Source organism: Homo sapiens, chromosome 11, assembly GCF_000001405.40.
Source record: "Homo sapiens chromosome 11, GRCh38.p14 Primary Assembly".
In the NCBI taxonomy this organism is placed as follows: domain Eukaryota; kingdom Metazoa; phylum Chordata; class Mammalia; order Primates; family Hominidae; genus Homo; species Homo sapiens.
In genome coordinates, this window is record NC_000011.10 from 100,727,164 (window position 1) to 100,741,697 (window position 14,534).

The 14,534-nt window shown below is 39.6% G+C and overlaps 1 protein-coding gene across 4 annotated transcripts in view, besides 1 other annotated feature; it reads left to right on the forward strand.

The window, feature by feature from the left end:
• The window catches only part of ARHGAP42 (Rho GTPase activating protein 42), a 306,654-nt gene that overhangs the window by 39,876 nt on the left and 252,244 nt on the right, over positions 1-14,534 (forward strand). Inside the window, exon 1 of one of the 4 annotated variants that reach the window (XM_011542615.3) lies at positions 7,370-11,335. The exons of the other annotated variants lie outside the window; for them this stretch is intronic. The gene's annotated coding sequence lies outside the window, so the exon portion shown is untranslated. Of the gene's footprint in view, positions 1-7,369; positions 11,336-14,534 lie in introns of those variants that run through there. 4 annotated transcript variants of the gene reach the window in all.
• Positions 8,022-8,211: an enhancer, noted in NCBI's record as "active region_5429". NCBI's record gives its function as "activates an Ori minimal core promoter by ATAC-STARR-seq in GM12878 lymphoblastoid cells {active_cell/tissue: GM12878}" and the evidence as "EXISTENCE:reporter gene assay evidence [ECO:0000049][PMID:35858748]".

Here is a 14,534-nt window from a genome sequence, read left to right on the forward strand (position 1 = left end):
GTGATTTTGTGCAGCAAACTTGGAAAACCATCATTTAATGCACTTGCACTTTGATATGTGCAAATAAATGCTAAAATATGAAATTTGCATATGTGATATAATTTAAATATATATATGGCCTCTGCCAGAGGCAGAGCTCCTAAAACCCTTGTAATTTCATGGGCAGTAAGGGTGCTGGGTACATCTTCTGTTCTAATATTTGGTTTTGACTCTTGTTTCTGACATAGTGGTGAATTCCTGGGAATTTTCTGGGTGATAGGAGCATCGTTTGTTCTCCTATGATAACTCTTGGTGCCCTTCTGGATAAGGGCTGGTCACCGGAAAGAGTCCGCCACAATTAGAAGCCTTGAACTTTCAGCTCCACCCCCACCCTCTGGGAAGGGGAGAGGGCTGGAGATCGAGTTAATAATAGAACATGACTACGTGATGAAGCCTCTATACAATTCCATGAACTATGAGGTTCCGGGAGCTTCCGGGTTGCTGAGCACATCCACGTGCTGGGAGGGTGGAGCCCTGTAACTCCACAGGGACAGAAGCTTGGGACTCTTCTGGAGCTCACCCTATGTACCTCTCCATCTGGTTATTTGTGTCCTTTAAAATACCTTTTGTAATAAATCGACAGTAGTACATACATTGCTTTCCTGGGTTCTGTGATACACTCCAGCAAATTATTGAACCTGAGGATGGTTTGTGGGAACCTCTGATTTGTAGCCAAGTCGGACAGAAGTGTGGATAACCTAAGGCCCTACTACTTGTGATTGGCATCTGAAGTGCAGGGCAGTCTTGTGGGAGTGAGCCCCTAAACTGTGGGGTCTGTGCTAAACCTGGTTGGTATCGGAATTCAATTGAATTGTAGGACACCCAGCTGGTGTTGGAGAATTGGTTGGTGAAAGGAAAAAACTTGACACCTCTGCTCACTGAAGTGCTGAGTGTGGGAGTATAGAAGAGAAACACAGTTGGTTTTTCCTATATTCAGCTTGGTTGGTGAATTTTGTTCCCTCCTAAGAAGAAAGACATAGATTTTACTGAAACCTCTCAACAGCAAGCCTGCTAGGATGGAATCTCCTTAATCAAGCAGTTGGCTATCGAAAAGGCCACACCTGTGCTCCCACCTGCAAAAGGGGTGGGATTGAAGCAGCCTACATTGTATGATGATTGGGCACCTATAAGCTGAGTCTTAGGAATAAAAATTCCAGTTCTTTCCAGTTTAGCCAGGGGCTTACTGACTAGAAAGTCTTCCCCTGAGAGAGAGAAAGATGCCTTGGGCAAGAGACGGTAACACTGAAGACTGTAGAGTTGCTATTTCAAGTTGGGGACTTCTGGAGCCTTCTGGTTCATCCTCTCAGATATGGTTGCTGGCTGGCTCTTTCCCCTCTATTTGAGGAATAATTGTAGCACTTACACCATGCAATTGCAATTGTTTACTTTCCTCTTTTCCTCATTATAAGCTCCTTAGGAGTAGAAAACTATCTTTAACATGAAGCAGTGTGTTAGGTTCACGATGGATCTAAATAAGTGTTGAGTAAGTGAAATTATATGAATGACTTTGCGTATATATATATATATATATATATATATATATATATATATATATGCACACTTTTCTTTTTTAATTTTTTTTTTGAGATGGAGTCTCACTCTGTCTCCCAGGCTGGAATGCAGTGGCGTGATCTCGGTTCACTACAACCTCCACCTCCCAGCTTCAAGCGGTTCTTCTGTCTCAGCTTCCTGGGTAGCTGGGATCACAGGCATGGGCCACTATGCCTGGCTCACTTTTGTATTTTCAGTAGAGATGGGGTTTTGCCATGTTGGCCAGGCTGGTCCTGAAATCCTGGCCTCAGGTTATCTGCCCACCTCGGCCTTCCAAAGTGCTGTGATTACAGGTGTGAGCCACTGCACGCAGCCTCTGTCTCTCTCTCTCTCTCTTAACTTTCAGTAACAAAGTCAGAAAATAAAGTGGTGGGCTTTCTCTTGATTAGCCAAACCATTTACTTTTAGGCTACTCTTAACAAAATATACAGATATGTATTTGTTTATTTAATTAGTATGATGGCCAAAGGATGTCACTTTTTTTTAAAGTGGTATGATAAACATACTGAGTAGATATAAACCCTGAATCCTGATTTTAAGAAATTATACAATTTAGTAATTATTAATTTATATTAATTAATATATCTAAATTTTGTGTGGCAAAAGGAAACCTGTAGATCACAAAGTTGAAAATTAAAGCATAAGAAAACTGTGAATGCTACCAGCTGAGGAGATTATGCTTCTGTTGTGAATTTGGCCCAGTTTTGGAGCATATGTCAATTGCTTATGTAGTTAGACTTGAGATTAGATTGAAATTTATATTTCTAGTCTAAGAAGATATTCTGCAATGCTTTGTCATAACCATCTAGACTTGCTAGTTAGTTTATTAATCACTGATAGGCGGCAAACTGTCCATGTACCTAATTTGCATAGATAAATTAAAGCTAACTTTAAAAAAATAGTAATTTTTAAAACATTTCTAAACGTATTATTTGCATCCATGTTATACTACAGCAGAGTCTACTGAATATAATAGAATCTCTTTTCCGGATGACTAGTATGAATATCATGTAACACTGTTTCCCCTGCTCTGTAAATTTGTAATCTAAATTTCTTTCTTTTTTTTTTTTTTTTTGAGACAGAGTTTTGCTCTTGTTGCCAGGTTGGAGTGCAATGGTGTGATCTCGGCTCATTGCAACCTCTGCCTCCTAAGTTTAAGCGATTCTCCTGCCTCAGCCTCCCGAGTTGCTGGGATTACAGGCACCCACCACCACACCTGGCTAATTTTTGTATTTTTAGTAGAGACGAGGTTTCATCATGTTGGCCAGGCTGGTGTCAAACTCCTGACTTTGTGATCCACCTGCCTCGGCCTCCCAAAGTGCTGGGATTTATAGGCATGAGCCACTGTGCCTGGCCTAAATTTCAAATAAGACTAATTTGACGAAATACACAAGGTGGTAGTTTTCTATTTAAGGAAAGTTTGATGTACTGTGGATTGTGTAGCTTCATTTTCCTCAAGGACATCATGATTTTTTTTTTTTAATCAAGTACAAAGCAGGAAGAAAAGTTCAAACTGCATCATGGTTTTTTATCTTTCTACTCTCTGCTAAGCATCAGCATCTGAATTCTCTTTAGGAGAAAATCAGCAGTTTTGTATTTGACCGCAGAGGTATGCATGGCTATTAAGCCTTATGTATGAATGCTCTGGGTGTGTGGGTGAATATGGAGAAATCCTCTGACCAAGAATGACCTCTTTAGGCTGAAATTCAATTACAGCTGAAAAGCCAATGTTGCTTTCTCACAATCAGATTTTAAGAAACACTGAATATGCACGTTAGAGCTTAAATTCCTTCTTTCGCAAGGGCTATCAGAATTGGCATATGTCTTTGATTAAGCCTCATGCAAATGCTGATACAAGCCATGTCTAAGAAATTGCAAAATTTTAATTGCATTTTTTCCTTAAAGTGGGTTGCTTAAATAGTAAGTCATATATTGCTTAATGACAAGATTATATTCTGAAAAATGTGTTCTTAGGTGATTTTGTCATTGTGTGAACATCATAGAATGTATTTACAAAAACCTAGTTGGTATAATTTACTGCACACCTAGGCTATATGATAAAGCCCATTGTTCCTAGGCTACAAACCTGTACAGCATATGATTGTACTGAATATGGTAGATGGCTGTAACACAATGGTAAAAATTTGTGTATCTAAATATAGAAAGAGTACAGTAAAAATACAATATTATGATCTTAATGGGACCACTATCCTATATGCAGCCTATTGTTGACAAAGGTTTTGCTTTTTTTTTCTTTTGGCTTTTGCTATATGATGGCAGTCATTCAGGTTTTTTTTAGTTTTGTTTTGTTTTTACCTTTCAATGAAATGACTTTAGAAAAATAATCCTTAAAATAAGGAATGATGCTTTGGTGCCTCACAGTATAACTTAGATTTATATCATTATATTCTTCTTTTTTTTTTTGAGATGCAGTCTTGCTCTGTTGCCAGGCTGGAGTGCAGTGATGCCATCTTGGCTCACTGCAACCTCTGCCTCCCGGGTTCAAGGGATTCTCCTGCCTCAGCCTCCCGAGTAGCTGGGACTACAGGCACCTGCCACCATGCCCGGCTAATTTTTATATTTTTAGTAGAGACGGGGTTTCACCATGTTGGCCAGGGTGGTCTCGATCTCTTGATCCATCCGCCTCAGACTCCTAGAGTGCAGGGATTACAGGCGTGAGCCACTGTGCCCGGCCATCATTATATTCTTTTAAAGGTTTGAAGTCAACACAGTAAATAACTTCATCCTAATGTTCTAAAGAACTGTGGGCAGATCTTTTCATTTTGCTGCTTACCCAGATATTGTCAATAGAAAGGGCTGTGTCTGGGAATTGGGTTCTTTAAATAGATAAGACTTGCTTTAATGGGACGCTCTGGGGCCCTGGGAGCAGGGAAGGTTGAGTGTTATCTGAGCTGCTGAGTGCACTGGGTAAGCTATTGTTTAGTCCCTAAATATATGACTGATAAGAAGAGAATCTTAGTGTGACCATCTGCCCACCCCAATTAGCAGCTATGCAATCCCTGCTTCCAGTTAATGACTATTGTATTTCCATCAGATCTTTGTTCAAAAGTAGCTTTCACACAGAGCCCTTCCCTCACCATCTCAAAGAAAGTTGAACAGTTTCCTTGTTGCCTTTTCCATGTTTTTCTACATAGCACTTATCACTCTCTAACACATTCTATATTTAACTCTTTTTTTTTTCTTTTTCTTTTTTTTTTGAGATGGAGTTTCGCTCTTGTTGCCCAGGCTGGAGTGCAATGACGTGATCTCAGCTCACTGAGCTCAACCTCTGTCTCCTGGGTTCAAGAAATTCTCCTGCCTCAGCCTCCCAAGTAGCTGGGATTACAGGCATACACCACATGCCCGGCTAATTTTGTATTTTTAGTAGAGATGGGGTTTCTCCATGCTGGTCAGGCTGGTCTCGAACTCCCGACCTCAGGTGATCCTCCCGCATCAGCCTCCCAAAGTGCTGGGATTACAGGTGTGAGCCGCCGTGCCTGGCCTTAACTGTCTTTTTCAACCAGAATGTGAGCTCCATGAAGGCAGGGATTTTATCTCTTTTGTTTGCTGCTGAATCCTCAGTAGCTAGGACAGTGCTCAATAAGTTTTGAATGGATGATGATTGAATAGTTTTTGATAGTCAGAAGCTTGTGGAAACAGTCTATATGTCTCTACCGCTGCAAACTTAAACAAGAATGTACATCGTCTCAGACCAAAATTAGCCATATATTTATATGGGCCTTCGATTGCAAGTAGGTACAAACAGCCGTTCATGTCTGGCTTGGAAGATTTTCTTCTCTAGATCTTCAAGCATATCAACTGACTTCTCGGGTGGAGCCTTATTCTAAAGCACAACACAGGAAAGTCCTGGACAAGATTGATAGGTCCTGTGCTCAGCCTAGGCAGCTAGACCCTCTGAGGTGGACACAGGCCAAGAGGCTGTAGATGTAGAGAGCTGTGTCTATGGCATAGTGAGTGACTGGCTTATGTCTTATTCATTTAAGGGCTAGTAGCTGTTACTCCTCTTCCATCAAACACTTAACCTTAAGCAGCAATTTTACCAATAGAAAAATTATCTCTGATTCTTTCTATGCTACTCAGCCTGCCTTAAAATCTTGAGATACTTTTTATACTAATTATTCTACTAATTATTCAACATCAATATGTTGATTTAATAAGGACACATGTTAATTAGCCAGCTCCAAAATATTGAGTCAGATTAACTTGTTAACACACTTCATATTACTCATAATTAATATTTCAAAGTAAATCACCACAAATCCAGTGTAACACTTGGGCATGTAAAGCCTGGGATTTAGCATACTTTCACTTTATGCAAAGCAAATATAAAAACAGTGGTTAAGAACTTTGATTCTGTAGTTCAGCTGCTAGATTCAAATCTAGGTGCAGATTCCAATGAGCTGGTTGACTCATGACAAGTTAATCAATATAGCCAAACCTTAGTTTCCTTATCTATGAAATAGGGATAAAAAGACCTAACTCATGGGATTGTCATGAGGATTATATAAGATTACTTAAAGGCCCTTGGCAAAATGCTTAGCACATAGTAAGTGCTTAATAAATGTTAGCTTAAAGGAATTATTCACATGACAAAGATTTTTTGAGTGTCTACAGTAGGGCTAAGAAATGAGAAAGGTTTGCAAACACTAATTCTACATATACACTTGAATTATAAATTGATTGCTAGTGAGATCCCATAAATTAGATGTAGAACAAAGTTCCTTAAGAGATGTAGCTCTCTTTGTATATTTAAAATGCACTCCAGAGGGCTGCATGCTGTGGCTCATGCCTGTAATCCCAGCACTCTGGGCGGCCGAGGCGGGCAGATCACCTGAGGTCAGGAGTTTGAGACAAGCCTGGCCAACATGGTGAAACCCCCATCTCTACTAAAAATAGAAAAATTTGCTGAGTGTGGTGGCACATGCCTGTGATCCCAGCCTCTTGGGAGGCTGAGGCATGAGAATTTCCTAAACCCAGGAAGCAGAGGTTGCAGTGAGTGGAGACTGTGCCACTACACTCCAGCCTGGGCAACAGAGCAAGATTCTGTCTGGAAAAAAAAAAAAAAAAAAAAAAAAAAGCACTCCATTTATACAAATTAGATACAGTTGCTTCTAGAAAATCTTTTGGTAAAGAAACTTCCTTCCAAAGCAAAGTTGTTTTTTTTTTTTTTTTTTTTTTTAAATGGAGTCTAGCTCTGTCGCCCAGGCTGGAGTGCAGTGGCACAATCTCGGCTCACTGCAACCACTGCCACCTGGGTTCAAGCGATTCTCCTGCCTCAGCCTCCCGAGTAGCTGGGATTACAGGCACCCACCAGCATGCCCAGCTAATTTTTGTATTTTTAGTAGAGATGGGGTTTCACTGTGTTGGCCAGGCTAGTCTCGAACTCCTGACCTCATGATCCGCCCACCTCGGCCTCCCAAAGTGCTGGGATTACAAGCGTGAGCCACCGCGCCTGGCCCAAAGCAAAGCTTTTATGATTGTTATCCGTGAAATCCACCCCTTTTTTAAAATTTTTATTTTTTTAAATAGAGTTTTACTCTTGTTGCCCAGGCTTGAGTGCAATGGCACAATCTTGGCTCACCACAACCTCTGCCTCCCGGGTTCAAGCGATTCTTCTACCTCAGCCTCCTGAGTAGCTGGGATTACAGGCATGCGCCACCATGCCCAGCTAATTTTTCGTATTTTTAGTAGAGATGGGGTTTCTCCATGTTGGTCAGGCTGGTCTCGAACTCCAGACCTCAGGTGATCCGCCCTACTTGGCCTCCCAAAGTGCTGGGATTACGGGCGTCAGACACCACGCCCAACCAGAGTCCACTTGTTATGCTAAAGGAGAGCTCTTCTGCAGGATTTTTGGCATTTTTCTTAAAGTTTTCATGTATAGCTAAGACAATTTTTTAATTGTGAAAAGGTTTGTCCCTAGTGGCTTCAAAATGTCAACCTGTTGGAAGAACAATCCCAGTTGAACCAATGTGACTTTCTTCTCATACTCTACTTAACTCACAGAAACAGATGTGGTGGCAGAACAAGCTGAAGCTGTCAGTTTTTTAATCTTTTCAGGTTTCTGAGAGTGGGACACACATGTGTGCTATGATTCCAAAGATGGAACACCTTTCATTTAATGTGTTAAGTTCGTCAGTATACAGATGTAGTTGGTTTACACTGATAACAGATGCAGAAGTGAAACTGAAATGCACAGTAAGGACAATCTGAAAACAACTACAACAACAAAACAACAACAACAACAACAACAACAAAACCCTGTGTTTGGGGTTTGCAGGAGCCTGGGTCTACTCAGCTTAGTTACCAACTGGATGTGAAAGTTCCCACCAGACCCCTTCAGGATCCATATCCTCACTGTGTGGTGAAGAGTTGGACTTGACAAAACCATTTCTCATTTCCCATCTTGCTCTGATTTTTTCCAGTTTTCTCTAGTACATATTCTTTTATGATTGCTTTTATTTTAAGCATGTGGAGTTTAATAGTGAGCCAATGCCATCAGATAAATTCTGCCTCCTTTCCTAGTTTAGTTTCTCTTTGTGAGTGGAATCCCCCTTATGTTTCTGAACTATTTAAGAGGCTTGCTTTGTGATGGAAGAGGAAATGCCAAAAGTGACTCCAATAATGTCACTTTAAGTCATTTTCTGTTTCTTTACATGATTTCTAGTTTTACAGGGGCTTTAAAAAAGAATAGGAAATAGGAATAGGAAATCACTTTAAGTCATCTTCTTTCTTTGCATGATTTCTAGTTTTACAGGGCTTTTTAAAAAGGAATAAGAAATATGAAAAAACTGGGGAAAGGTTGGTGATTTGACAATATTTTACTTGTACTTTTTTTTTTTTTTTTTTTTTTTGAGATGGAGTTTTGCTCTTGTTGCCCAGGCTGGAGTGCAATGGCGTGATCTAGGCTCACTGCAACCTCAGCCTCCTGGGTTCAAGCGAGTCTCCTGCCTCAGACTCCCTAGTAGCTGGGATTACAGGCGCCCGCCACCACGCCCAGCTAATTTTTTGCATTTTTAGTAGAGATGGGATTTCACTGTTGAAACTATGGCCAGGCTGGTCTGGAACTCCAGATCTCAGGCCATCCACCCGCCTCAGCCTCCCAAAGTGTTGGGATTACAGGCGTGAGCTACCGCGCCCAGCAGACTTGTACTTTTTAAGTGTTTCATATCCTATTTGAGCGGCTATCTTTGTTTACCTAGGTAATGTAGTCATATGTACTGTGTTCAGAAATCAAGAGAGTAAAAGGAAGCAATAGAAAGGAAAGGATAGTTTTCAGAGCTGAGATATATTTTTCAAAAAAATCATGGCCCAGCTGTTTCTACTGGGGACACCTAGAGTAGGGCAATGGGAGATGATAATGTGGTTAGCCCAAGGTTGTTTAGGTGGTTTTAGTTAGTTTGTTTTGAAACCTGAAGCCTCAGTGGGCTTGAGCAACAAGGAATAGAGATAGAGAATTCTCATCATTTTGTGAAGCTTTGTGAGCTTTTTCATTCTTTTACATCTCCGTTTTCCACAGTAGCCTCAGGATTTTCTTTATATGGATGCATGCCGGGGGCTTCCCGATGATCACTTGAGGATGGCTCTGGTGAGACAGAGAACTTGGTGGAAATCCCCCTGAGCTGCCTTCCTGGAATAAACCTGGGTTGAGAAATCTTGGGGCTCTGGGCACACAGAAAATGCCTGGTGGACAAATCATGGGACTGCTACCACCATCTTATCAAACGTGATTAATGGGAACTGGAATGTAATGGAGAGACAGTGTCACATCCCTGCAGGGTGTCTCTGTGTTTTTTTCCTTCCCAAACACTGTCTTTCTCTCTTTCTTTTAATGGATTTTCAAACAATACTCTGGTAGCACCTTTTGTGCTACAGGCATCTGCCACTTGCAGCAGATTTAAAGGATTTAGACCTGGAGGGTAAAGAGTAATTTCTCCGAAAGGATCTTGACGTGTTACTGTTATAATAAGCTAAGCAGTTTGTCTTTTTTTTAAATTAAAAATATGTTTGTTTGGCTTACATAAACGATAGTGTCTTCTGTTAAGAAAGAAAAAAAGGACAGGAGAAGCACATTATTCTGGATTTTTCCTTACCTTTGATCAAGGCTTTACATATAACTTCCTGACTCCAGGAAACACCAGGGATAGAAGAACAAGGTCAGCAACACTTTGAGCAAGCACTATGCTAAATCTAGAATTTGGGGCATCCTATAGGACAGTGGAACCAGTTTAGTTAATGAGTCAGTGGCCTGTGAAAAGAAGGAAAAAAGGAAGAGATAACTATTCTATGTTAAAAGGGATTAAGGGATCTCAGAGACATAAGGAAATATAATGAGTAGACATTGTTAGGATTCTTATTTGTGAACAAGTGGAAAACAGATTTAAAAATAATTGGGGAAATGTGAATGTGAACTAGCTTTTGATAGTATTAAGGAATTACTATTAATTTTGTTATAAATGATAATAACCTTATGGTTATATAAGCATCTCTGCTTCCATTCCCACATGAATACAAATGAAGCAAGTCCCTTAATCTCACTTAGGATTAGTATTTGCAGCTACAAAGAAGATGCTTATTTTGGAAGGTTTTGTAGGGTTGACGTGGAGGTAGAATGAGACAATGCTAGCGTAGAATCCTGTGAGTGATTTTTATGTTTCGTTGTTGTTGTTGTTGTTTTTGGCTATCATTATCACTATATGAGGTTCATGTATCATATTAATTCTAACTCTAGCTATCCTTTAAAACTTTCATGTGTTTCCATTTCTTTTCCTATTGGTGATCATACTGGTGTCCCACCTTTCAACGTTCGCAGGTATTCCAGATGGCCTGCTCCATGAGATAGAGGTGTCTTGGTTCATCTTGGCCTTGCTCACCACTTACTCTTACCACAAGGTCCTGTGTCAGGCCCAGCAATTGCCCTTGAATAGATGCTGACTTATTTGTTGAATGAATGAACTCTCCCTGTTAAACTTAAAGCAGAAAAAAGGAACTTTATTGCAGCTTCTTATTGGCAGTAAATGCTAACAGATTTATATTGATAAGCTGCTGGGAGAGGACTTAAAAGGGGCCTACATCTCACATTAGTGTTTTTAGTTGCTTGCCTATTGCTCATGATCAATCCCCTCTCATTCCTCTTCCTCAGAAAGTAGGCACGTGGTCATTTCTTTTTTTCATCAAGATTGCAAAGTCTTTATACAGTGAGGAAGAAATTGTATTAGAATCCTTACGTTTTGCACATAGTAGGCAGTTGCTAAATGTCAAAAGAAGACTTTATTTCTGTACCCAAAATATTTTTAGATATTTTGATGGGAACTGGGAGAGCTGGGAGAATATTCAGTGTAAGAAATGATTTTTTTCTGTGAGTCAAGAAAATATCGTAGAAATACTGTGATAGCCTTTAATTTATAGCTGTCAAATACTGACTTGGTTAAAATTATTACAATGCTTCAGAGGCAATTATTTACATATGTTTTCTCTCTTCATCTTTAATATAGTAACGTGGAAGCGGGAAGCTGGGAGAAAGTCATTTTTTAAATGTGGATTGAGAGTTCATATGTGGAAAGGGCTGCAATTCATTGAAATAACCAGGAGAAATTGGATGCTGATATTTCAGAGCTGCAGTCTGTTTGGAACCTCACAGTACCGCAGTCTAACAAAGAAGTGCCAGCTTTGTTTTAGATTTAAAAGAGTATCATCTAAAGGATCTGACATTACAGACAAAAGAGAGGTAACTCACTAATTCCATCAGATGTATATTTTTTCTCATTTTGCAATTCCATCAAAGCAGTATTGCTCTTGGCCATTTACCTGTTTTTGAATAATGAGAGGTATCATGATTTTCATCAGTGAGGGTAATATATGTAAAACTTGCAAACAATTTATTCCTCTAAATAAAGTAAAAAACTATGTTGCTAGAGAAGTACTATTGCTGCTGACTACTAAAGGTAGTTAAGAAGTCAAAGTGTTTTATTATAATACAAATAAAGTGAACATGTAGAAATCTGTTTATTATTACGTTTCAAGTTTGAATATTTTGTTTTCTTTTTAAGAAGAAGCAGGGCAAAACAAACTGTGCCCGTTGCATTCCTTGCCAAGGTCAATGCTCCATATTTTGTCTGACTGTTTAATTTAATAGCATTCAAGCACAGAAGCAATCAGGAGGCCACTCCTATTGGTAAATCCATGCTTATAAAGAAAGCATGTATTTCAGAACTTAGGAAAAAAGCTGTTTGTTAAGCCCAGACCTAGTTTGAGATCTTTTTGAAAAGTGCTTATAATTTTCCAGAATTCTAGGATTAACTCAAGGAAATGCACAACAGAAATATGTAGATTTGACAGTGGCTTTTTTCTTCTGTTCAAGTTATCTTAGAGTCTTTTTTTTTGTTTTTGTTTTTGTTTTAAATGAAGCAGTTTTGAGATTCATTAACTGGTTATCTTTTGTCTGAGTTTTACCAAAGTGATCAAAAAATAAGGAACTATTGACTTTTGGTAATTAAAATACTCTTGGATTTTTTTTTTTTAGTTAAAGTTCAGGACCATTCACTTGGTTCTTAAACAATCTTGTTTTAACCTGAAGAACTCTTGATTTGAAACTTTGAAATCCTGAGAAACATTTTTTCTATGACTCTCAAAAATAACTTCAGATTGCAATTTGTTCTAAAGAGGATAAAGTAGATATACCATGCTTGTTTTCTTTTCCTTAATTGAGTTTCATTTATGTGATTAACTTAGATAAAAATACTCTAATTTGATTTACTGAAGCAGTCAGGATGAAATATTTTGCATAGTGAAGTGTGCTAAATCTTTAAAACTATTTCTAGAGTTTTTAAAGAAAGAATTTTAAAATGTAATGTACGAAGGTATAATTCTGTGTATCTATACTTTGTTTCTCCCTCCCCTCTGCATCTAATAAGCCCCTCTTTTCTTGTTCCTTTTGTAAACATGAGTTGCTTATGGCTTGTGTACTGAAAATGCTGCCAGGAAGTAGGGTGAGCATAACTTCTTTTCCCATGACCCTCAGTCTAATGTTGTTCCAAGGGTTCCTTACTTAGAAATGCCTTGATAACCGCATTCATTCCTGACATACCCCACCCCCAACACACACAACTGCTGAGTGCCATCTGACCCACAGTCCAGCTGCAGCTTTTAAAAATACTAGTGGCAAAGGCTTTTACCTAGAACGGTGACTATCTGTGAAAAAATTTTGTGTGTGATTTGTTTTTTGCGTGTTGAAATATTATTTTTTAAAGAAAGTTACTTGGTGTCAGCCTGCAAGTTAAAGGGTTATTAGTACAATTTTTTTTTTTTTTTTTAATTTTCAACTCACTAAAGCTTGCCTGTGTATGTTCATCCTTTTTGTATGATTTCTGGAAGTTTTCCTGTTGACAGTGAAGTCTAAAATGCTAAGACCTTTAGATTCTCTTGTTTCATGACTTTTATTATGAACATAAAACTTTTAAAAAAGACCTGGTCATGCTATGGCCTCTCCCTTCTCCCAAATTTTATATGATACCCTCAGTTTTTTTTCCTTTGGTGCACAAGGGAAGAAAAACGTATTTGCTGAGTAAACACTTGGGCACTGAATTTATTTCTCCCATCTTCTAAAAACTGTGAAGTGAGCACTAGCGTTCTTTTATATGTAGAAAATTGAGAGTGCAAAACAGGTTAACTAATTTGCTCCAGGAACAAAAGCTAGTCAGTCATGGAACTAAGATTTGAACCTGTCTGTCTGATACTAAAGTGCTATTCTTTGCCATTTGAAGGCAGTATCATTCATGCCATGAACATTAGCCAGAAGCTTTATGGTATAGGGGGAGGAGAATGGAATGTGTAGAGGAAAAGTTCTTGGAAAGCAGAGTTTGATGTAGAATGGTTCCTGAAAGTGAAGGGGATGGTGCCAGCAGTTGCAAGATAAAGCGATGGGGTAGGTACATTGCTCCTGGCAGCTGCTCCTTCTGCCTCTCCTGTTGTTGAGTGTCAGATTTTGCTGCTCCAGGGAAGATTCAACCACTGTTAAAGTTTGGCACAGGGTTGATGAAGCTTTGGAACGTTACTTACTGGATTATTTAAAAAAAATATGTCTATCAAGAGAAGAATAAAGAGGGTATCTGTGGTTATACTTTAATTAGTTATTCCTGGAGAGGGGACATGTGGCCTTATTCTAGTCCCATGGGCTTGAGGGGGAAAGCAGACAGATTTATTTGACTGACTGTAAGGCTCCTTTGCAGATTACATAAAGAGAGAAAATAAGAAATTTTATTTATTTATTTCTTTTTTTGAGATGAAATCTCACGCTGTCTCCAAGGCTGGAGTGCAGTGGCAAGATCTCAGCTCACTTCAGCCTCCATCTCCTGGGTTCAAGCGATTCTCCTGCCTCAGCCTCCTGAGTAGTGGGGATTACAGGCACCTGCCACCACGCCTGGCTAATTTTTGTATTTTTAGTACAGACGGGGTTTCACCATATCGGCGAGGCTGGTCTCAAACTCCTGACCTCAAGTGATCCACCCACCTCGGCTTCCCAAAGTGCTGGGATTACAGGCGTGAGCCACCGCCCCTGGCCGAAGAAATCTTATTCTTATAGTTAGTGAAATGTGATGCCTCCTGAAGCCACAAGACACATCTCAGTCTGTAAAGGCATGACGGTAAAGTGTGTGTGAATAGAGAGAGGGTGAGAAAAAGGAAACTCATTTGTGGGCTGTTTCCTGTTAGTACCTGTCTGCTGTGTTACCGACCCTTGCACATTCCCTGCCTTGCCTCTGCAGCCTCTAGTCCAGATTGAAGAACCCTGAAGACCTAGCTTCCTCACCCTGTATAGTTACTGTAGTTACTAAGGATCTAAATTATTGGCATACCAGCTGACTGCTTTAAGCCTAAAGCAAAGTGCCAGGTAGAGGACATGCGTTACTTAGATACTGCCTATAAAGCAG